This window comes from Homo sapiens, chromosome 11 (assembly GCF_000001405.40).
Source record: "Homo sapiens chromosome 11, GRCh38.p14 Primary Assembly".
Lineage (NCBI taxonomy): Eukaryota > Metazoa > Chordata > Mammalia > Primates > Hominidae > Homo > Homo sapiens.
This window is the reverse complement of record NC_000011.10, coordinates 36,719,833-36,744,179: the sequence shown is the minus strand read 5'-3', so window position 1 is coordinate 36,744,179 and position 24,347 is coordinate 36,719,833. Positions and strand designations below refer to the sequence as shown.

Here is a 24,347-nt window from a genome sequence, read left to right as displayed (position 1 = left end):
TTGTGTTTGCAGTATCTCATCTTTTCCCATTCTCAACTCTGGTGGGTTCATGGATTTCAGGGTGTGCCCTTGAGCACCTGCGAATGAATCCACAGCATCAGTTCAGGGAGGCCATCAGAGAGGCAGCTAGGTGAGGCTGGGCCACCTGGTGCATGCAGTCCCCTCTGACCTCAACAGCCAGCCTCATGCCTCCCAGTTCACCCACAGAGCTGCCAGAAAAAGGCCAGCAGCCAGGTGGGAGCAGGCACCCTCATTTGCTTTTCATCATCCACAGCCCATCTCTCTGAAATTAAATGATGTCTTTTCTTTGTTCCTTTTTGCGTGTTGTGCAAAGAAACTGCTGAGGCACTTTTTAAGAATACAGATTCCTAGATCTCCTCTCAGACCTTATGATATGAATATCTGGGGACAGAAGCCTGAAGATCTGTATTTTTCTAGTCCTCCACGGTGATTTTGATGTCAGGGTTGAGAACCACTGTAATCATACCCTTGCTTGGCCCCTATTTAGACACAGGCATTATAAACAGAAAATAAGACCTCAGGGCAACTCTAAACCAGTTCTCCCTCCATTAACTCTTCACTGATTTATCTTACTATTCTCTACTCAGGACCATTTACATTCTTAAAAATTATAGAGAACCCCAAAGAGCTGTTGTATATGTGGGTTCTATCCATCAATGCTTACAACATTAGTGATTAAAATGGAGAAACTTTAACATATTTAATAAACCATTTACATGTTAACATAGTTTTATAAAATTAACTATTTTCAAGAATCAAAAAAATAGAAGAATGGCATTGTATTTGATTTTTATAAATCTCTCTAATGTATGGTTTAATAGAAGACAGCTGGGTTCTCGTAGATACTTTTGCATCTAAGCTTTCGCTATATCACTCATCATGTTGTTTCTGGAGAATTCCCCTATTCACTCATGAGAGAATGAGAGCAAGACATGCAAATAAAGGCTTGGTATAATTAGAAAACAATTTTGACTTTATGGAGATCCCACTGAAAGGGTTTCAGGGTCCTCCAGACCACACTTGGAGGACCACTGTTTCAGACTATTCCTCATACCACATTATCTTTGCCAGCACTTACATACTCATTCCTCTAACTTCAGTGTTTATAAATTTTGATGCTTTTTTATTGTTCCTGATAGTTGACTTGTTTCCCTAATCATGTTTGTCTGTGTGAAAATCATTAGCATTAAGAAACAGAAATCCACTCAAGCTAGGTTAAACAAAGGGGGATTTATGGGAAAGATACAAGAGAATCTCACAAAACCCCAAGTGGGAGGTGTAGCCAAGTCTCCACTGTGTTTCTCCCTAAGCTTCAGGACTCTGCATGTGGGCCCCCTCTCCACACTGCATACTGGCATCCTCTAAGGCTCTTACTCCCCAAGCAAGGCTTTGGGTTCCCAGGAAGCTATCTCTAACTCATTGCCTTGGAGTCCCATGTCCAACAGCTTCTTACCAGCAAGACTTGTGTCTTGATTCCAAAACCTTAGGTGAGAAAATTTGGTTGGCTCTACTTAAGAAGTTCTTGGGAGGGATGGTAGAGCTCTTCTGATGTCTTATTTATACCCATAGAGAAAAAGCCTGCATCAGGGACCAAGTGAGTAAGCAAATATCATAACACTGGTTCTCAATCCTGGTTGCCCAGTGCTGGTCTAATTAGATGGGATCACCAAGCCAGGGTTCTCAGTGCATTGTGCTGTGTGGTTTCACCTAGAACAGGATATGGATAGTGCAGAGGTAATAGGCATACCTAGCACAGACTCCCAGCACTTTTTAGTAGAAATGTAATAAGCATGTATGTAATTTTAAAATTTTAATAATCACATTTAAAATGTAAAAATAAACAAATGAAATTAATTCTGTTAAAATGTTTTAACCCAACATATCCAAAATGTTAACTCAATGTGTAATCAGTATAAAAAGCATTGGTGAGATATTTTACAACCTTTTGTGCTAAAGTCTTCAAAGTCAGTGTGCATTTTATACTTACAGGACATCTTAATTGGTACACTAAATGTTCATCAGAAAAATCAGAAATAGTTGATCTATATTTAAAGTATACAAAATTTATAACTAAAAAAGACCCACAGACCCAAAGTTGTTCTAAACATACTTAAAAGTTTTCTAATAATGGAATAAAATATCCGTTTTAAATGAAAATGAATTATAATTAAGTTAAAAATTTAGTTCCTTGGTAGCCTTAGCCACATTTCAGGGGCACAATAGCCACATACGACTAGGGGCTACATTTTGGACACAGCAGGTCTAGATGGAGACCCAGAATCTGGCCTCTTCTACTCCTTTGAGACTCCCCTCAATATCAGCAGAGCACTGTCTAGTACAGACACCCACAGAGTATAGCTGATGGAAACTGTCCAAGTTAGAATTGCTCAAATCTAATTGCTAACTTCTGGGCCCTTAGAAGTTCCATGTAAATGTTTTTCTTTAACAAATTACATCATTTTAAATGCATTCAAGAGGCTTGTTAAAGGAATCCTATAATCTCTTAACTCATTCATCAAATAAATCACCTTTCAGTCATTTGTTTTGTTTTGTTATTTCAAAAAGAAAAAAAGATTTGCTTATATCAGATTTATTTTAAGCAAGGCAGGGGCTTACAGAAAACCCACTGAAGTCCATTCAACAAATGAATAATCTGAGAAGCCATAAGTCACACTCCACCCATGGGAATCTAAAGGGAGTTTTGCAAAAATCCATAACAACATAAACCTAAATGGTTCTGGTTCTGTTTGACTGATCCTGGTTGCACTGTTTAAGTGTGCTGGTACTCCAGGGCTGCTGTGAGTGATGGAAATCATGACCAAAGTTTGGCTTATTTCACTTAACATAGTATCTTCTGGTTCCATTCACATTGCTGCAAATGACAAGATTTCTTTCTTTTTATGGCTCAATAATATTCTATTGACCACTACACATGGTATGCACATATCAAAATATCACATGTACTCCAGAAATATGTACAATCCTTATGTATCAACAAAAAAAAATGACAACAACAAAACACGTTAGTCAATAAGCTGACAGCCTGGAGCTCTTTTCAACAGATAGCACTGTATTCAAAAGGACTTCTCCACGACTCCACAAATCTAGTTTCCACAACAATTTCTGAAATTTGATGCCTTTATATATGCAAGTTACATTTTAAAGTTGGCCTATAAATACATAGACAATTTTGACTGAATGGAATTATTTGAACCCTCATTTGTTCAATCAAATAAGCATTTGAATGTTTAGTATCAGCCAGATGAGCTGTTCCTTTGTTCATTCACTCATGTATTTCTCAAATCCTCATTGATTCCTATCAACACTATCAGGTGCCATGCCAGGGAGCTAGAAACACAAAGAAAAGCAAGAAACAGAAATAGATCCCACCCTTTAGGATTCATTGACCTCACAGTTAATTATGAAAGTCAGATATATACATAACCACAAAATAGTGAGATTACATACTATTAAAAATACATAAAATTCTGCATCAGGAGGATAGAGAGGAAGAGAACTGAGGAAGATTTTTGAATGGAGATACTCCTGAGATGGGTGTAGAAAGCTGGGTAGCAGTCACCAGGCAAAGGTGAGGAAGGGCATGGGGAATGAATATTCCTGAAATGGGAACAAGAGCTGCACAGGTGCCTCCTACCTGGTCTCCCTCCTTCCACTCTTACCCCACTACAGTCTGTTCAACAGTCACACAGCTATCAGCATGATCCTTGTGAAATACCAATCAGATTCCATCACTCCCTCATCTCAAACTTGCAATAATTTCCTCTCCCACCTGCAATAAAATCCAAAGTCTTGGTCATGCCTTCAAGGCCTTACGTGATGGGCTCCTTGGTATATTAGAGACCTCCCTTGGTTCCACGTCCTCCCAGCCACACTGGCCTCCTTGATGTTCTTCAAACATTCCAGGCAAGTTCTCATCTCAGGGCCATTGCAAAGTGCCTTCTCTGGCCATCTCAAATAAAATAGAACCCTGCTGTCACTTTCTGCCCCTTTTCTCTGCTTTATCTCCCTGCACAGCACTCAGGACTCGGACAGTACATGGTCTATGTAGCTATTTGCCTGTGCATTGTCTGACTTCTCCACTAGAATGCAAGTGCCATGAGGGCAGGCCTTGATCTGTTTTGTTCACAGCTATAGCACTAGTGCCTAAGACAGTACCTAGCATATGGTGGGCTCCCCCAAAGTATTTTTAGGATGAAGAATTAAATGAGGCTGGAAAATATGCATATTTCAAGTGCTGGCAAGTATCCAACATGGCTACAACATGGGAGTGAGGGGATAGGGGGCCAAGGTAAGAGCCACTGGAAATGAGGTTGGATGGGTGCTCAGTGACCAAGTAATAAAGGGTGCTGTACTCCTGGCTAAGAGTTTGGGCTACATTCTGAGGACAACGGGGAGCCAGTGAAGCTTGTAAGGAAGGGCATGGTACATGCAGGTCTGCTTATTTAAAAGAGAAATCAGCTTGCCATGCAGTAGATAAATCTGAGAAGAGCTTCAGGCAAAAAGGTCTGTTGGGATACTTTCGCAGTCACCTGTTTCTTCAGCTTTAAAATGCAGATAATAACACAATCTTAGTCACAGGCTGCAGTGATGACTAAGGGGGTTGATGTACATAAAGTACGTAGCACAGGACCTGGCACATAGGATGCTATCAATAAATATTATCTATTACCACCAACATTTAGGGAAGCTTGAAGGATGATATCTGTGCTTCTGCTCAGATGACTGTGTGGAAGGTGCTGCTGCCTTTGATCTCAATATAAACTATAGAAATAAGAACTCAATTGTGGGAACACAGAATGAATTCTATTTTGGGCAAGTGCAGTTTGAAATAGCTGTGGGATATCCAGGTGAGATCTGTGGTATGCAGTCTGATATAAGGGTCTAAAGCTCAAAAGGGAAGTTTAAACCAAAGCTCAAGATTCAGAGGAATCCCTTCCTTTACAAGCAATTGTCCTGGTCCCTTGTGAGCAAACTCTGAATCCAAAGTACTCAAAAGTAAACTCACTAGAGTAAAAAGCCCCAAGAAGAAACCATCATATAGAGCTGAAAATACCACTGCAAGAATTGACTATAATTCTGAGCCCCTCAGGACCCCTAGCAATGTTCATATAGTCCTTGTTTGCATCCTCTTTGAGCACACAGAAAAGAGCTTCATATGCTTATCACATTTACCACATCCTTCTACAAGTCCTCCAATTTCCTATTTTCCAATGTGCCCCTAAAAGAAAAGGCTAAATAAGCTCCAGAAGTCTGTACATTATAACTGACAGACCTCTTAGCTCTGAAGGCATTTTTTTCTGAGCTCAATGAATTTCAAAACAGTGTTCCACTTCTACCCCTGCTTCAAGTGTCTGAGAATACACGTGTGAAGTATAATGTCAAGTCCTTGGGGATGTGGCTCCCCAGAGTTATCTGGGGCTAGAGATATAAGAAGAATAGGAAGTACAGAAATGGAGCTGGCTCTGCAGCTAGTACAGCAAAAATGGCTTGAGGTTTACTTACAAACAATCGACATTGGTGCCTTTGAAAGGGAAGTGGAACTAGCTTTGATAGACATGCATTCTTTCACTTATTCATTCAACAAACAGCTATTGAGGATGTAATATACCTGCCAGGTACTGTGCCAATACAGAGGAAGTAACAGTCAACAAGAAAGATTTGATTCCTCATGAAGCTTCGTGGCTTCAAGGGTTTCCTGTTTGTCAGAACCTTAAGGATATCTAAAATGTAAAGCAAACCTTCTTAATTTTCATTCATTCATTTACTCATTGAACACATATTTATCAATGGTGCTGTGCTGGCCTCTGGAAGTCACAATGTTCACTAAGACAAGGCAGTTACAATTCAGTTTAAATGTCATGGGAAGGCAAGTACTGTGTGCCAGTGGAGGCTGTAGGAAGGGCCCTGTGATAGCATAACTTGTCCACAAATTATCTGATACTCCTCTCCATTGAGGGGAAATGTCTATGTCCCCTCCCCTTGAATCTAGGCTGGTTCTGACACTGTGCTTACCAGTAAAATATGACGGAAGTGATGCTTCACCCAGACTGTAAAGAAGTAGCAATATTCTTTCTTAGAATACTTGTTCTAGGGGAAGCTAGCTCCCATGTGAATAGATACATCCTGAGAGTACCATGTTGTGAGGAACCTCAAGCTAGCTTAGAAAAGGATATGGGGAAAGAGAGGCCAAGCAAGCTTTAGCTATTCCAGTCATTCCAGCCAGGTGCCAACATCTGAGTAAAACAGCTATCTTGGATATTTTATGTTGGATTGAAAGTCCTCCATGGATAGCATTTAGTCTGAGACCCAAAGGATGAGAATGATTTTGATATACAAGGACCAAGTGGAGGATTATTCCAGGCAGCGGAGTGGGATTATACAAAGATCCAGAGTTGGCGAAGCTCCTGGAGTGTTCAAGGAGCTGAGAGTAGGTTTTAAAATGGTGGTATAGAGGTGAGCTGGCTACATTATCATCAACCCCCACAGAAAACCAAAAATATATATACAGTACCAAAGTTTTTGCCAGCAACAACCCAGGACTCAAATGTGAAGATGAGATAGATCTTGAGGTCATGGAGAAGTGAAAAACCTCTGAGCAAAGGATGGGAGAATTTACCTACCATCTAGGCTCTGAGGATGCCCTTCCCCACAACCCACATTCTTCCCGGCAACAAGTGTGCAGGTAATTTTACCCAATTCACAGTTCCTACACTGGAAAAAGTGAGATTGAGGTGATCATCCAGCTTTCCCACTATCTTAGGTTGCCTGGCAGGAGACCTGTCCTTGCCTTAACCCATGGGAAGTGATTGCCTGAAGGAAGAAATATCCCTAAGGACAGGCAGAGACAAAGGGAGGAGGAGGGACTAGCATCCTGAGCCCTGGAAAGTCTGCTCTGTAACTTGGCCAAAGGAGATGCCAAATCAGGTAGCTGTTAAGCAGCAGTACCCTGTAGGAGGTACATTTCATAGGTCCATTGGGCATGAACCCCTAGCCAGCCTTCCCACACTGCTGGGATAATTCCTTTGAAATTTAACCCCATCCAGGACAGGCAGTGCTCCACTCATTAACTAGAGTCAAAGCAAACCTGGGCTTAAGGCACAAGGCTTAGAACCAAAAAGGGAGCAGTGATCTAACAGTATTTGCTGAGCAAATATATCCAAAGAAACAAAACAAACCAGAGAAAACTAGAATAAATAATTAATCCTTTATTGCAAAGACATTGTCATACATCCACAAGAAACAAAGCAAACTGGGAACTATGACCTCCCCTAAAAGGACAAAACAAAAGTTCAGTCACTGACCCTAACAAGACAGTGATTCGTGAGCTCTCTGATCAAGAATTCATAATAGCAGTCTTGAGGAAACTTGGTGATCTCCAAGATAACACAGAAAAGCAATTCAGAAATGTATTGAGAAAATTTAACAAAGAGATTGAAATTTTTAAAAAATCAAATGGAAATCTTGGAACTGAGAAATACGTTTTCTGAACTGAAAAACTCATTGGAAGCTCCTAACAGCAGAATGGACAAAGCAGAGGGAAAAAAAATCAGTGAGCTTGAAGACCGGCTATTTGAAAATACACAGAGGAGACAAAAGAAGAAATAATGAAAAGGGATGAAGGCCTCCCACAAAAAATAGAAAATTACCTGAAAAGACCAAATCTAAGAATTATTGGTGTTCAAAAGAAAGCTGAGCAAGAGCAATGGGTAGAAAGCTTATTCAAAGAATAATAGAAAAGTTTCCAAAACTTGAAAAAGATATAAATATCCGAGTATAAGAAGGTCGGAAAACATGAAACAGATTGAACCCAAATAAGACTTTCCCAAGGCATATAAGAATCAGACTCTCAATGGTTACAGACAAAGAAAGGATCCTAAAAGCAGCAAAAGAAAGGAAGTAAATTGGCATATAATGGAGCTCTAAATCATCTGGCAGCAGGTTGCTCAACAGAAACCACGCAGGCTAGGAGAGAGTAGAACAACATTTTCAAAGTGCTCAAAGAAAAAAAAAACTGCCATATGAGAATACTGTACCCAGAAAAATTATCCTTCCATAAGAAGGAGAAAGAAAGTCGTTCCCAAACAAACAAAAGCTGAGAGAATTCACCACTATCAAGGAGGTGAGAGTCAACTAATATGGCTGGAGCATGTAGAGTAAGGGGGCGAGGCAAAAATTAGGTTGGTGAGAAAAACAGGGACCAGATCAGGCAAGGCCTTGTCAGCCATGCTAAGGCATGTAAATTTTGTCCTAATTACAATGGAAAGCTCTTAACCATTTTGAATATAAAAGCAGTATGATCTATATTAAAATCATAAGAGGATCCCTGTTGCAGCTATGCCAGTTTTGTGATGCCAGCTCTGTAGCTTTGTTAAATACTCTATTTTTTGGCAGCTATTATAAAAGGGGTTGAGTTCTTGATTTGATTCTCAGCTTGGTCGCTGTTGGTGTATAGCAGAGCTACTGATTTGTGTACATTAATTTTGTATCCCGAAACTTTGTTGAATTCATTTACTAGTTCTAGGAGCTTTTTGGAGGAGTCTTTAGAGTTTTCTAGGTAAACAATCATGTTATCAGCAAACAGCAACAGTTTGATTTCCTCCTTACTGGTTCGGATGCCCTTTATTTCTTTCTCTTGTCTGATTGCTCTGGCTATGACTTCCAGCACTATGTTGAATAGAAGTGGTGAAAGTGGGCATCCTTGTCTTTCTTGTTCCAGTTCACAGGGGGAATGCTTTCAACTTTTCTGCATTCACTGTAATGTTGTCTGTTGGTTTGTCATAGATGGCTCTTATTACCTTAAGGCATGTCCCTTCTATGTCGATTTTGCTGAGGGTTTTAATCATAAAGGAATGCTGGATTTTGTCAAATGCTTTATCTTCATCTATTGAGATAATCATGTGGGTTTTTTTAAATTCTGTTTATGTAGCGTATCACATTTGTTGACTTGTGGATGTTAAACCATCCCTGTATCCCTAGTATGAAACCCACTTGAACATGGTGGCTTATCTTTTTAATATACTGTTGGATTCTGTTAGCTAGCATTTTGTTGAGGATTTTTGCTTCTATGTTCATCAGGGATATTGGTCTGTAGTTTTCTTTTTTTGTTATGTCCCTTCCTGGTTTTGGTATTAGGGTTACACTGGCTTCATAGAATGATTTAGGGAGGATTCCCTCTTTATCTTTAAGAATAGTGTCAATATGATTTCCACCAATTCTTCTTTGAATGTCTGATAGAATTCATTTGTGAATCCATCTGGTCCTGGACATTTTTTGGTTGGTAACTTTTTAATTACTATTTCAATCTCACTGCTTTTTATTGGTCTGTCCTGGCTTAATTTAGGAGGGTTGTTTATTTCCAGAAATGTATCCGTCTCCTCTAGGTTTTCTAGTTTGTATGCATAAAGGTGTTCATAATAGCCTTGAATGAGCTTTTGTATTTCTGTGGCATTGGTTGTAATATCTTCTGTTTCATTTCTAATTGAATTTCTTTGGATCATCTCTCTTTTCTTGGTTAATCTTGTTAATGGTCTATCAATTTTATTTATCTTTTTAAAGAACCAGGTTTGGGTTCATTTATCTTTTGTATTTTTGTTTGCTTCAATTTCATTTATTAATATTTCTGTTCTGATCTTTGTTATTTATTTTCTTCCACTGGGTTTGGGTTTGAATTGTTCTTGTTCCTCCAGTTCCATGAGGTATGACCTTAAATTGTCTATTTGTACTCTTTCAGGCTTTTTGATGTAGGCATTTAATGCTATGAACTTTCTTCTTAGCACAGCCTTTGCTGTATCCCAGAGGTTTGGATAGGTTGTGTCACTGTTACCGTTTAGTACAAAGAATTTTTTAATTTCCATCTTGATTTCATTGTTGACCCAATGATAATTCAGGAGCAGGTTAATTAATTTCCCTGTATTTGCTGGTTTTGAGGGTTCCTTTTTTTTTTCTTTCTTAGACGGAGTCTCGCTCTGTCACCCATGCTGGAGTGCAATGGCACGATCTCAGCTCACTGCAACCTCTGCCTTCTGGATTCAAGGGATTCTCCCACCTCAGCCTCCCGAGTAACTGAGATTATAGGCACCCGCCATCATGCCAGGCTAATTTTTTTAGAAATGGGGTTTCGCCATGTTGCCCAGGCTGGTATCAAATTCCTGAGCTCAGGCGATCCGCCTGCCTTGGCCTACCAAAGTGCTGGGGTTACAGGCATGAGCCACCGCACCCAGCCGGCCAGGTTGGTCTTGAACTCCCGACCTCAGGTGATCCACCTGCCTCAGCCTCCCAAAGTGCTGGGATTATAGGCATGAGCCACTGCACCTGGTCTTGAGGGTTCCTTTTGATTTCCAATTTTATTCCACTGCGGTCTGAGGGAGTACTTGATATAATTTCAATTTTCTTAAATTTACCGAGACTTGTTTTGTGCCCTATCACATGGTCTATCTTGGAGAATGTTCCATGTGCTGATGAACAGAATGTATATTCTGCAGTTGCTGGGTAGAATGTTCTGTAAATATCCGTTAATTCCATCTATTCTAGGGTATAGTTTAAGCTCATTGTTTCTTTTTTTTTCTCTCTTTTTTTTTTTTTTAGTTGGAGCCTCACTCTGTTACCCAGGCTGGAGTACGATCTTGGCTCACTGCAACATCTGCCTCCCAGAGTCAAGAGATTCTCCTACCTCAGCCTCCCAAGTACCTGGGATTACAGGCACCCACCACCACTCCCAGCTAATTTTTGGTATTTTTAGTAGAGATGGGGTTTCACCATGTTGACCAGGCTGGTCTCAAACTCCTGACCTCAAGTGATCCACCTGCCTCGGCCTCCCAAAGTGCTGGGATTACAGGTGTGAGCCACAACACCTGGCCTAAGTCCACTGTTTCTTTATTGACTTCCTGTCTTGATGACCTGTCTAGTGCTGTCAGTGGAGTATAGTCCCCCACTATTATTGTGTCGCTAGCTATCTCATTTCTTAGGTCAAGTAGTAATTCTTTTGTAAATTTGGGATCACCAGTGTTAGGTGCATATATATTTAGGATTGTGATATTTTCCTGGAGGACCAGTCCTTCAATCATTATATAGTGTCCGTCTTTGTCTGTTTTAACTGCCATTGCTTTAAAGTTTGTTTTGTCTGATATAAGAATAGCTACTCCTGCTCGCTTTTGGTGTCCATTTGCATGGAATATCTTTTTCCACCCCTTTAAGTTTATATGAGTCCTTCTGTGTCAGGTGAGTCCCTCAAAGACAGCAGATACTTGGTTGGTGTATTCCTATCCATTCTGCCATTCTGTATCTTTTAAGTGGAACACTTACGCCATTTACATTCAACGTTAGTATTGAGATGTAAGGTACTATCCTATATATCATGCTGTTTGTTGCCTGAATACCTTGTGGTTTTTTACTGTTATTGTTTTACAGGACTTGAGAGAGTTATGCTTTAAGGAGATTCTATTTTGGTGTATTTCCAGGATTTGTTTCAAGATTTAAAGCTCCTTTTAGCAGTTCTTATAGTGCTGGCTTCGTAGTGGCATATTCTCTTGGCATTTGTCTGAAAAAGACTTTATCTTTCCTTCATTTATGAAGCTTAGTTTCACTGGATACAAGATTCTTGGCTGATAATTGTGTTGTTTAAGGAGGCTAAAGATAGGACCCCAATCCTTTCTAGCTTGTAGAGTTTCTGCTGAGAAATATGCTCTGTTAATCTGATAGGTTTTCCTTTATAGGTTATCTGATGCTTTTGCCTCACATCTCTTCAGATTTTTTCCTTCATCTTGACTTTCGATAACCTGATAACTATGTGCCTGGGCAATGATGAATTTCCCAGGTGTTCTCTGAGCTTCTTGTATCTGAATGTCTAGATCTCTAACAAGGCTGGGGAGGTTTTCCTTGATTATTCCCTCAAATATGTTTTCCAAACTTTTAGATTTATCTTCTTCCTGGGGAAAACCATTATTCTTAGGTTTGGTCATTTAACATAATCCCAAACTTATTGAGGCTTTGTTCATTTTCTAATTCTTTTTTCTTCATCTTTTTCAGATTTGGGTTAATTTGAAAGTCTTATCTTAGAACTCTGAAGTTCTTTCTTCTACTTGTTCGATTCTATTGCTGAGACTCTCCAGTGCAATTTGCATTTATTTAAGTGTGCCCTTGATTTACAGAAGTTGTGATTGTTTTTTTATTTATGCTATCTATTTCACTGAAGATTTTTCCATTTATATCCTATATCAATTTTTTTAAATTTCTTTCAGTTGGACTCCACCGTTTCTGGTGTCTCCTTAATTGGATTAATAATCAACCTCCTGAATTCTTTTTCTGGCAATTCAGAGATTTTTGTCTTGGTTGGATCCATTACTGGCAAGCTAGTGTGATCTTTTGCAGGTGATAAAGGAGCTTGTTTCATCATATTAACAGAGTTGTTTTGCTGGTTTCTTCTCATTTGAGTAGACTATGTCAGAGGGAAGATCTGGGACCCAAGGGATGTTGTTCAGATTCTTTTGTCCCACAGGGTGATCCCTTGATGTGGTGCTCTCCCCTTACCCCTAGGGATGGGGCTTCCTGAGAGCCAAACTGCAGTGATTGTTACTTCTCTTCTGGATCTAACCACCCAGTGGAGCTGCCAGGCTCCAGGCTGGTAGCGGGGAGTGTCTGCAAAGAGTACTATGATGTGATCTGTCTTCGGGTCTTTCAGTCATGGATACCAGCACCTATTCCAGTGGAGGTAGTAGGGAGTGAAGTGGACTCCGTGAGGGTCCTTGGTTGCATTTTTGTTAAATGTGCTGGTTTTATGTTGGATGGCCTCCAGCCAGGAGATGGCACTTTCAAGAGCCCATCAGCTGTGGTTGTATTGGGAGGATCAGGTGGTGGACAGGGCCATAGAGCTCCCAAGAGATTACATCATTTGTCTTTGGCTACCAGGGTGGGTAGAGAAAGACCATCAGGTGGAGGCAGGGTTAGGCATGTCTGAGCTCAGTCTCTCCTTGGGCGGGCTTTGCAGCAGATCTGTGGTGGGTGGCGGGGTGGTTCCCAGGCCAAAAAGTTATGTTCTCAGGTGGATTATGGCTGTTTCTGCTGCATCACACAAGTCACCAGGGAAGTGGTGGGAAGCTGGCAGTCACAGGCCTCACCCAGCTCCCAAGCAGCCTGCAGCCTGGTCTCACTCCCACCATGGCCCCACAACAGCACCAAGTTTATTTCCAGGCAGCCAGTGAGCAGGGCTGAGAACTTGCCCCAGGCTACAAGCCTCCCACCTGAGAAAGCAAGCAGACTCACAATTCCTCAGCTGTCCTAGGGAGCCTGCGGTGGCAGTCCACCTCCTTCAGATGGATTTTCTCAGCTTTCCTGGTATGTTCCTGTGGTAGTTCTTGGAGTAAAATTCATGATGTGGGTCTCCACATGCTGCTCTGTCCATCCAAGTGGGAGCTGCAAGTTCTATTATTGCATTCACCTGTTACTTGACAAATTGGTCAGGAACATAGTCACTGTTTTTTATAGCATCTCCTGGTTTTCTAGGGTATTAAGTATATGAGCCCCGTCCCTCTGGTCTCTGATACTGGCACCATAATTTCATGAGTTGTTCTACCTTCTGAAGTTCCTACCAAAGTCATGAGAAGCCAGACATCTTCTGCCCCAGAAGCTCCTTTCCCTTTAGAACAGTTCTCAAACCTGAGCCCACATTAGAATCACCTGGAGGACTTGTTAAAGTGCTTACTGTTGGACCACAGCCCCAAAGCTTCTGATGCAGTAGACCTGGGAAGAAGATCAAGAATTTGCATTTCTAACAAATGCCCGGGTAAGGCTGATGCTGCTAGTCTGGGGTCCACTTTGAGAACTGCCTTAGATGAGCATGCACCCAATTTCTGTTTCTGACTGGAGGGTCTCCTATATTTTACAAAAAGGTTCCCAGAAAAATTCAAGAACCAACAAAAGAAAATTTCTTCCAAGTTCTTAACATGAAATCTAGCTGTTCTTGTTTTAAACAGTGGTAGGCATGGAGCCAAGGTGAGTGGTTTCAAATGTTGGTCTGCCTGGTTTAAAAACTGTGTATCAGCTGCAAGGCCTGGGCCAAGTACCTATCTCCTATGATCACTATAAGGATTAAGAGTTAATGCAAGCAAAGCACTAAGAGCCTCAGCTGGCACTGGGTAAACATGTGATAAATGCTAGCTGTTAGCGTTATTATTCCGAAGCGTGACTCATGTAATTGGTTTTTTTATGATTTTCACATAAAAACTAGTAGAAAGTTCAAATTTGTGACCTGCCTCTGGAAAATGTATAGGATTGCATAGCAAGCATTTTGGGAACAAATTTCATTTCCAGCTTCATCTAACTTTTTAACTTATCTTTTTCTTAGGACTCAACTACATTACTTCATTTTAATGTATCTTCTCATAATAAATTATTATATGAGTAGCTGTATGCCACTTTAAATTCTTTCTTAAACAGGTGGATCCTATGTATAAATAAATAGTTCTTTATTTATGCAGCCCCTCCATGGATAATCAAGGGGTTTCGGGTTCTGGATTCCTACACCCCAACTTCTTTAGGAACCTGATCATTACAGCTTTACATTATCGAGCACCTTAAGCACACATTAATAACAAAAAATCATGTGTAAGAACCATATTTATGAATGCAGTTGTTTTACTTAACCCCTTAATTAAATTTGTTTTTGATTCTTGGAATGATAGAGAGTGTATTCTACAAAATCAAGCTTCTATACAATTTTGCTACCTTTCTTTTGTGAAGATATTATTGACCTTCCACTGACAGACACAGTTTTTAAGTGGTTTTTGTAGCCTTCACTCATTCCGAAAGTAGTTATTGAGTGCCTAATGTATGTTGCACATTGTGCAGAGCGTTAGGGAGGTGATAATGCTCAAGACACTATCCTCAAGGAATTTAGACACATAAATAAGCAGATAATTCCTACAAATAATACTAGACGATGCATGTTTTGAATTATAAAAATTGATATTTATTGGATACTTGAATTATTCTGCGCATTTTACATGAATGATCGCCTTTTTATCAACACATAGACCCTACACTGCAGGCCCTACCATTTTTCTCACTTTGTCGTTGTGGAAACTGAAGCCCAGAGGCCCCAAAGTCATGCTGGGTGTAAGGGGCAGAATCAGGCTTCAAACTCAGGCAGTCTACCTCTAGGGTCCACACCCTGAAACTCTGTCTGATGCTGCTTTTCTGCAATGTATCATGAAAGCTGCAGGGATAATGTTTCCAGGGATGTTTGGACCCAGTGATATGAAAAAAGCCACTTTGGACAGAGAAAAATAATTAGCAAGAAGAGAAAGGGCGGGACCCTTGGCAAAGCACATTAAGTAGCAGAATTAGGTAGATTCTGTGGCATGCAACCATGGGTAGAGGAAAGGCTGAATAAGCAGCCTGTAGTAATGACCCGTAGAGCCATTGGAGAGGGGCCACTGTAGCAAATTGCAGCACCAGCCCCCAGGAGACCGATGGGCTCCACAGATAGTAATTTATATAATGTTCAAAATCAGCACTTTCCATGGAGTTCATCAACAGAGCAAGAACCGTAAGAACTAATGTCTGAAGAGGCACTTGCCTTTTGCCTTCACATGTGAAAGCAGGGAGTGGATTTTGCAGACAGGCATCGTCCAAGAATTCTGTGTCTACATGCACTCAGTGCTTTAATGTTGGATACGTGATATATAGGATTTCTTAATTATCTTCCATGTCTGCATTAGGGTCTTGCTTCATTTACCTATTGCTAAGTAACAAATAACTCCAAAACTTAGTAGTATTAAAAAAACTACCATTTTATGGAGCTCATAATTTGGCACGTTAGGACATCACACCAGAGCTGAGATGGTTATGAGATGGCTTGAATGCTTAGAGATGGCTCTCAGGATAGTCAGACGTGTGACACGGCACTGGCTTCCCCTAAAACAAGCATTCTACGTGAGGATGCTGCTGCTTCTTTAAAGCCTCAGAAAAGCACCAATTCTGCCATATTCTACTGGTCAACACGGTCACGATCAGCCCAGTTTCAAAGAAAGGGAATACATATACCTCCTCTCACTGGAGAGGAATGTCAAAGAAATTGTGGACAAGCTTATTCCATCACGGGGCCCTTCCAAAAGCCTCCACTGGCACACTGTACTTGCCTCCTCGTGACATTTAAACTGAATTGTAAACTGCGCAGTCTTAGTCAATATTGTGACCTCCAGAGCCAGCACAGCATGATTGATGAGTATTTATTCAATGGGTAAATGAATGAAAATTAAGAAGGTTTGCCTTATATTTTATAAACCCCCAAGGCTTCTGGGAAACGGAAACAAGTCACCCAGATATATTACCTAAATTAAATCACTAAAATGAGTTACTAAGAGAGGTGCCATAGAAATGTGTATATATGTATACATTTATAAATGATACATTATATATACACAAATGTGGTAGTTTTATAGCTATATGAGAGAACAGAAATAATAATGCTACAATTGAATAACTCATTACTTATGTAGTGCTTACCATGTAAGCCCATCATGAGAATTGCCTCAGTACAAGAAATTCAGATCTCTTATGGGATGAATTGTGCTCCTCAACTCCTCAAAAAAAATTCATATGTTGTAGCCCTAAGCTCCAGTAGATCAGAATGTGATTATATTTGGAGACAGAGTATTAAGTTAAAGTGAAGCCGTTAGCACAGGCCCGAATCCAATATGACTAGTGTCCTTATAAGAGAAAGTTAGGACACAGACAGACACAGAGGGAAGACCATGTTAAGACACAAGGAGAAGACAGCCACCTACAAGCCAAAGAAAGAGGCCTCAAGAAGAAACCAACCCTGCAGACACCTCGATCTCAAAGTGCTAGCCTCAGGAGTTGTGAGAAAATAAATATCTATTGTTTAAGCCACCCAGTTTGTGGGACTTCGTGATGGCAGCCCTAGCTAACTAACACAACGTCCCAGGAGACAGAGAACAAATCCTCAAGCAGCACAGAACCCCGCCTAATTCTCCATCACATGCCTTGGGGATGAAGAGAGGGCTATGGTTCTTACCTAGAAGCACAGGAGAAGACAGCAGCCACAGAACCTGATACTAGATGCCCAAGGAGACTAACAGAGACATCTAGACTAACTTCTAGAGTAGATAAGAAACAACCAAGATAAGGAACCACTCCTCAGAATGTCAGAGGGCATCAAGTCCCATAATTACGGATGACTAGGACTCAAATTATTTTATACGTCTGCAAAAGAAACAGTGATCCCAGGATTGGAGGGCTTGAAGACACTGGGCTCAATCTGGAACAAAAAAGGTATTTTCAATATAGGTGGAGCTCTGCCAGTAACACTTGCTTCTACAAAGGAAAGATGTTCAAAGTTCCCCCAGGACTGGAAAGTGCCAGAAAGCCAGCTGCCCCCTGCTACAGCTCAGGGAGTCTCCCTCTGCCCCAACCACTACCAGCCCTTCTGTTGCAGCAAGCAGAGAGTTCTACTCCAAAGGGGAGGTGGGGAAGCAGATGACCAAATAAATAAATAAATAAATAAATAAATAAATAAATAAAAAGTATATTACATTAGTTTTCGGTGGCTGCTGTAACAAATTACCAAATACTTCGTGGCTTAAAACAACAGAAATTTACTCTCACACAGTTCTGGAGGCTGGAAGTACAAAATCAGTACCACTGGGCTGAAATCAGGGTGTCAGCAAGGCAATGCCCCTTATAGAGGCTGGCCCCAGCAAATCATTCCAACCTCTGCCTCTGTGGTCACCTCCTCCCTCCCTCTGTCTCTGTGCCTAATCTTCTGTCTCTTTTATAATGACACTTATGTTGGCATTTAGCCCACCCAGTAATCCACAATAATATCCCCACATCAGCCTCCTTAACTTTATCCTATCTGCAAAGACTCTTTTACCATTTGTAACATATTTTACAATTATTAAAAATTATAAAATTTTATAACACATTTCATTTGCAACATTTATAGGTTCCAAGGATTAGGACCTGATACTTAGGGGGCTGATATGGTTTGGCTATGTCCCCACTCAAATCTCATCTTGAACTATAGTTCCCACAATTCCCATGTGTCATGGGAGGGACCCGGTGGGTCTTTCCCATGCTGTTCTCATGATGGACAATAATTCTCATAATAATGAATAAGTCTCATGATAGTGAATAAGACTCATAAGATCTGATGGTTTTATAAAGGGCAGTTCCCCTGCACATGCTGTCTTGTCTGCCACCATGTAAGACGCGCCTTTGCTCCTACTTTGCCTTCCACCATGATTGTGAGGCCTCCCCAGACATGTGGAACTGTGAGTCCATTAAAACCTCTTTTTACTTATAAAATACAGTCTCTGGTATTTCTTCATAACAGTATGAAAATGAATTAATACACAGGCCATTAGTCAACCTACTACAGTCATCTTCCACTTTTACTTGGCAGACAGGATCCCACCATCTCCAGAGCTGTTCATTCACAAAGATCATCTTTGAAGCTGCCCAGGGATGCCCATCTTAAGGATATGCCTGTATCTCTCTGTTTGTAATAGGCTGAATACTAAAATGCCAATTTCCCTAATAATATGATTCTAAACTTATTCCACTCATGTCACATATATATCTATTGTCTTTTATTTACTGATGACAGGCTGGCTCAAGGATGCAGCTCACTGTGCGTGTTTTCCCAACATGCCAAATAAACTTGGGTTTGCAAAAAGTTACAAACTTCTTACTCATAAAAACATTGGAATTCTCTCAAAAGTGCTCTTGAAATACACAAAAACTCAAGAAGAGTGAACACCCAGCACTCAGAGACCAAAAGCAGCAGGATGGAGAGGGTGTCAAACGTGTAATTTTTAGTGCATTAAGATGTGTCAGAGTGTGCTATGTCCACTTGATGAAAGCTGGAAATTACATGGTCCAGAAGCTTCTGTCCTATGTGGATCTGAGTTGGAGTTACCCAAAAGAGGAACTTGCAGAAGAAATGAAGAAGTCATTATTCTCAGAAAGTCACAGTGGGCAGACGTGGTGACAGACAGATACGAATGCAGCTACTGGGGTCCAGTTTCCATCTCTTCTTTCTAACGCTGGCCCCACCAAACAAAAGTGGCCCCACTAAACAAAAGCAGCCCCAAGGCAAACTTCAGGGGCACAGGCTCTCCAGACTTCTCTGTCAACCTTCTTTGCAGTTCCACACCAGCAGTCAGACACACACACAGGATATGGGGGTTTCCTGCACACTGTGACCTACCCACCTGTACCAGGTCTCCTATTAATCATGTTTAGTGACTGTTTGGCTCTCCTACTGTCCTTTCCAGACTTTCCCTTCCCCAGTTCTTCCCAACCATGTTGCGTAAGTTCAAATTTCTATGGTCAATCCCTTATTCCCACAATACTTACTGTGGCTCTTTTGTCCTCCCTGAACCCCAACTGATATACAGAAATCACTTTTCCCATGCACAATTCAACTTGTAAACCAGTGAACCTAAAAGTATTTCTCAAAGTTTAGACCAAGACCCTCCTCTATCAGAAATATCTGAGGAACTTCTCTTGCATTCATATTGCTGAGCTCTACTTCAGACCTACTGAATCAAAATCTCTAGGGATGGGACCCAGGATTCTGCATTTTAACTGGCATGTCAGGTGACTGGTGCACATACAAGTTAAAACAATTATATTATTACTAGGATTTAAAAACTTTTGATAGCATTGAAAAGAGTAGTTCAGTCCATTTCCTTATTCATTGAGCAATCACCAACCAATTGTTATGTGCTACAGACTATGTGATCATCTGGAGGTGAATAAGGTCATCTCTTGTCCTCCTGTGGCATGGATACTCTAGTATGGGAGATGTGAATGTGATAATAACAACTCCTGTTTATTAGATGCTTACTACATAGCAGTTTACATGCATTGTTTCACTAACAACCCTACAGAAAGCAGCATCTTATTATACTCATTTTCCAGGTAAAAAATTGAGCTTAAAGAATATGAGCCCAAATGTCACCTTGGACTCCTCTCTCTGTCATCCCACTGTCTGCAAAATAGTGCAAGTTGTTCATGGTGTATCGGCACCTTGGATGTGAGGGCTGAAAAGTACATCAGAGAAGTAGAAACCACAGAGTAGGAACCATTTAAATCATAAAGTGATTTTGAAACCATTCTGAAATCTTATCCACATCCTTCCCATGGCCTGGGATTTGGTAGTTATAAAGCAGAATTATTTCATTGCTCTATAAATCTGCAAATAAATGCTCTATTCTTTCTGTTCATACAGATAACTCTGTTAAGACATCCTGGTAATCCTCCCTGTTCCCCTCTGGTATGTAAAAGGTAGGCAATTTGGATATTCAGAAGCCTGATGAAGGTCTTGACTGTAAAAAGCCTGGGGCAGTAGGAGTCTGGAGGCACTACTTGCCTTGGCTGTCATAAGTTTTAACATCAGAAGTCTCCCCTCCTAATAGAGGAGAGGGTTCCTCCTGGGGAGAAGAGACTTCTGTGATCTCTATAAACCTGGGTCCAAAGCTTAAAACTTTATACTCCTCTCTCCCCTGGAGGCCCTTGACATCCTGATAATAACATAAAGTTACCAGTTACAATGAAATGGCTTTTTCTTTGTATTTTGTAGGTTACTCTGGAAACTCCAGGAGGGCATAACTGTGAGGAAAAAGGCTCGTGGGACTAGAGGAATAATCACAGGGGTTAAGAAAGTTTCCAATCCTGGGATCCAGTGATCCACTCCTAGCAAGGCTCCTATGAAGCCATGGGAGGCTCTGCACTGCTGAATTCTCGGGGTGTGCCCATCACCCAGACATGCAGTATTCCCTGGGCCCTTCCTGACTGAGCTGCTCCTCAGATTTCCCATTACCATTCCAGTACCCCTGAAACAAAGGACTTAGTATGAGAACCCCAAATTATTCCCTGTTACTCTGCCAAACATCCTTAGTACAAGGTTTGTTACACAGTCCTGAACCCCACCTGGCTCCAGTTTCTGCAAGAGGGAGCTTGCCCCTCCTTACAGATCTCCAGTGCTGACTGACCCTGGTCTTGTTCATTTGTTTTTTAATTGAAGGCATCCTACAACACCATTTTCCTAGATTCATCTTTCCAACATCAGACACTGTCTGAAACATGCCAAAGAGGGACACAGTCTTCACACACGGAGCATTATCCTCACTCAGTGTGACCTTGGTAGAAAGTTCCTGTAAGATTCCAGCATTTCAGTAGCAGATACGCCAGCCACAACGTCCTCATTCCCTGCTGGGTTTCTCATAGCTCAGCTTCGTCCTTCTTTCTTTCCCATTTCATTCTTACACGTCTTCTGTTGGAAATAGTTATGTGAGTCTTAGTTTGATGGGTGTGTAATGTTTTAACTAATAAAATTCACAGTAGGATTTCTGCTATGGACTGAATTCTGTCCCTGAATGTCATATATTGAAGCCCTAAACTGCAATGCGACTGCGTTGAGAAATAGGGCTTTTAGGAAGGAAATAAGGTTGAGGTCATAAGGGTGGGGTCATAAGGATAGGGTCCTTATCTGATAGGATTGGTGGCCTTGTAAGAAGAAGAAGAGCTTGCAGTCTTTCTTTCTCCACACATGTATACTGAGGAATGGTCATATGAGGTCACAAGCCAGGAAGAGAGCCCTCACCAGCACCTGACCATGCTGGCCCCTTATTTCAGACTTCCAGCCTCCAGAACTGTGAGAAAATAAATTTCTCTTGTTAAAGCCACTCAGTCTAGGGTATTTTATTATGACAGCCTGGGCAGACTAAGGCAGACTTGTTCTAAATTGCAATAAACTAGGCCATCAAAATATACCATGGTAGGTGCTATGATGGAGGTAAATATCTAGTACTATTGGACTAACCCTGTCTTGAGGGCAAAATGTCTTCCCAGAAGAGATGATGTCTAAAGTTGAACCATAAAGGATAAAAGGGGTGGAAAGTATCTTCAAAGGAGGAGAGGCCATGCACAAAACCCAGAGAGTAAAAGGGACCATGCATCCACTGGATACTGCAAGTATTTCAATGTGGCAGGAGAGTAGAGTGGAAAGAGATGAGTGACAAGAGGTGTGGCTGGAGTCTTGACAGGGACAGATTGAGAAGGCCTTGCAGGCCATATGAAGGAGTCTGGAATTTATTTTGACAGCAAAGAGAAAACATCTGAAGAGTTTTAAACACGGGACTGACAAAATAGGAGATACGTTATAAAGAAAGGTCATAGGATATGAGTGGCATGTCTATGTCAGGAATCAGCAAAAACAATATTATAATAATTCAACAAATATGTAATAAGTGTCTATTGTGGACCAGGAGCTCTCCTAGGTACCAGGAATATAGAAGTAAACAAAACAGACAAAAAAAAACCTATTCTCATAAAACGTATCTTCTATCATTGGGATACAGATCATAATCAAGAAAAAAAATATTGTATATCATGTGTTCAGATGGTAATTCGAGTCCAGAATGAGCGTGGGTAGGCAGGGGATGGGGGATGATGCAGAGTGACAAAAGAAGGCCTTGCTAATAAAGTGACATTTGAACAGAGACCCAAAGGAAGTGAGCAATGAGCTAGTGGAATCTGAGAACAGAGCATCCTAGGCTGAGGGAGTAGCAAGTGCAAAGGTCCTGGGGTAGGAGTAAGCCTGTCCAGGAATAGCTAGGATACCAGTACAGTGAGAGCAGTGAGAGAAGGGGGATAAGGGGAAGAGCTGAGGCCAGGAAGGCCAGCTCACGTGCCTTCTTGGAATGCATTCAAAGCCCTCAGTTCTTGGGCGGCCAGAATTATCAAGGCCCATAAAGAAATGTAGAAATGCTAGGAACAGGGCAGAAAATACACAAGTGAGCCTGGAACATGTTAGAATGTCAGAAATTTAAAAAGTACTAAAAAAGAAAAAAGAAGAAGAAGAAGACCCACAATGATGGAGGCATTGTGTCAAAGGGGCATGGAGCCAAATACAATGGCTGTTTCTGGAATACCTTGAGCAACAAAATTAATTTTTAAAAAGAAGAAAAAGAAGTATAGAGGCTGGGCATGGTGGCTCATGCCTGTAATCCCAACACTTTGGGAGACTGAGGTGAGAGGATCACTTAAGCCCAGGAGTTTGAGACTAGCCTGGGAAACATAGTGAGACAAATACAAAATTAGCCAGGTGTGGTGGGGCACTCCCGTAGTCCCAGCTACTCAGGAGGCTGAGGCAGGATTGTTTGAGCCGAGGAGTTGGAGGTTGCAGTGAGCTGTGACTGAACCACTGCACTCTAGCCTGGGAAACATGGCAAGACCCTATTTCTAAAAAACAGGGAAAAAATATGTATAGAGAATATAAACTCTTTCCCATCTATATGCCACATCGTGTCACCTGGGCCCCAAAGCAGCTCTTGAATCCAAAGTTTCTCTCATCTGCTTCATCTTCCAATCTCCCCTGGCTCCTGCCCCCAAACACATTTTTTTCTTCCTTTTATACACTCACCCACACACAGGATTCTATGAACATCTGAGAATACACACACACACTTGGAAAAGAGAGTGGAGCTATCTACACCAATAGTTTCCACACCCCTCCCCATGAACAGTGCCAGGAGGTGAATTTTCACCAATTCCTTAATGAAATAAGAAAAAAGAACAAGGAAACTATAGTGAGTTTTCATAAAACTAAATGTATCCCATTTAAATATCTGTTTTTATTAGCTGCTGTAACGAATACCAAATATCTTAGTGGTTTAACACAATGAAAGTATATGTCTTCTTATGCTGGTAATTAAGTTATTGCCTCTTTACTGGAAAGCCATTTTTCTATATTCAGTTTTGTGACAGTGGGTCTGGAATTCTGCAAAGCATATTCGACTTTGCCAACTTCTTCCTGAAGGTTCTGCCAGTAGCAGGTTCTGGAAGGAGACTGCAAGAATGGAGGAGAGATAAGGGACATGCTGCTTCCTGGGCTGGTTTTTAGTTTTGGTTTGTTGCTTGTTAATGGTTCCGGGGGAGGTTGTTTTGTTTTGCTATACCTGTAAATGTCACTTGGGCACTACTTCTTTACCTGGTGACAGTCCCTGGTTCTAAAAGCAGTTGGTTCCAGTTTCCAGTTTTTTCCCTAATCCCAGAATAAGCATCATGGAGCTCCCAGAGATATCAGCACTGCTGTTCAATGTCCCCTCCTCAGAGGTGTGAGTCAACTCTGCATTACTCACTTGTAATCCAGTAAGAATATTCTGGGTCAACAGGTGGCCTTCCACCCATTTGGTGGAAGGGTCGTTTGGGTACTTGGGCTCCCTGTGATTCGGTCACCACTAGGCCCTTGGGTCCTATGCAGGATGCTTAGTGTCTGT

General features: G+C 41.1%; 1 long non-coding RNA gene across 2 annotated transcripts in view, besides 4 other annotated features; it reads right to left on the bottom strand.

Moving 5' to 3' along the window:
• The window catches only part of LOC107984326 (uncharacterized), a 162,012-nt gene that overhangs the window by 120,757 nt on the left and 16,908 nt on the right, over positions 1 to 24,347 (bottom strand). Inside the window, exon 4 of one of the 2 annotated variants that reach the window (XR_001748188.1) lies at positions 20,676 to 21,340. The exons of the other annotated variant lie outside the window; for it this stretch is intronic. This is a non-coding gene — a long non-coding RNA (uncharacterized LOC107984326). Of the gene's footprint in view, positions 1 to 20,675; positions 21,341 to 24,347 lie in introns of those variants that run through there. 2 annotated transcript variants of the gene reach the window in all.
• Positions 876 to 1,055: an enhancer, noted in NCBI's record as "active region_4638". NCBI's record gives its function as "activates an Ori minimal core promoter by ATAC-STARR-seq in GM12878 lymphoblastoid cells {active_cell/tissue: GM12878}" and the evidence as "EXISTENCE:reporter gene assay evidence [ECO:0000049][PMID:35858748]".
• Positions 18,896 to 18,945: an enhancer, noted in NCBI's record as "active region_4637". NCBI's record gives its function as "activates an Ori minimal core promoter by ATAC-STARR-seq in GM12878 lymphoblastoid cells {active_cell/tissue: GM12878}" and the evidence as "EXISTENCE:reporter gene assay evidence [ECO:0000049][PMID:35858748]".
• Positions 18,966 to 19,105: an enhancer, noted in NCBI's record as "active region_4636". NCBI's record gives its function as "activates an Ori minimal core promoter by ATAC-STARR-seq in GM12878 lymphoblastoid cells {active_cell/tissue: GM12878}" and the evidence as "EXISTENCE:reporter gene assay evidence [ECO:0000049][PMID:35858748]".
• Positions 19,116 to 19,215: an enhancer, noted in NCBI's record as "active region_4635". NCBI's record gives its function as "activates an Ori minimal core promoter by ATAC-STARR-seq in GM12878 lymphoblastoid cells {active_cell/tissue: GM12878}" and the evidence as "EXISTENCE:reporter gene assay evidence [ECO:0000049][PMID:35858748]".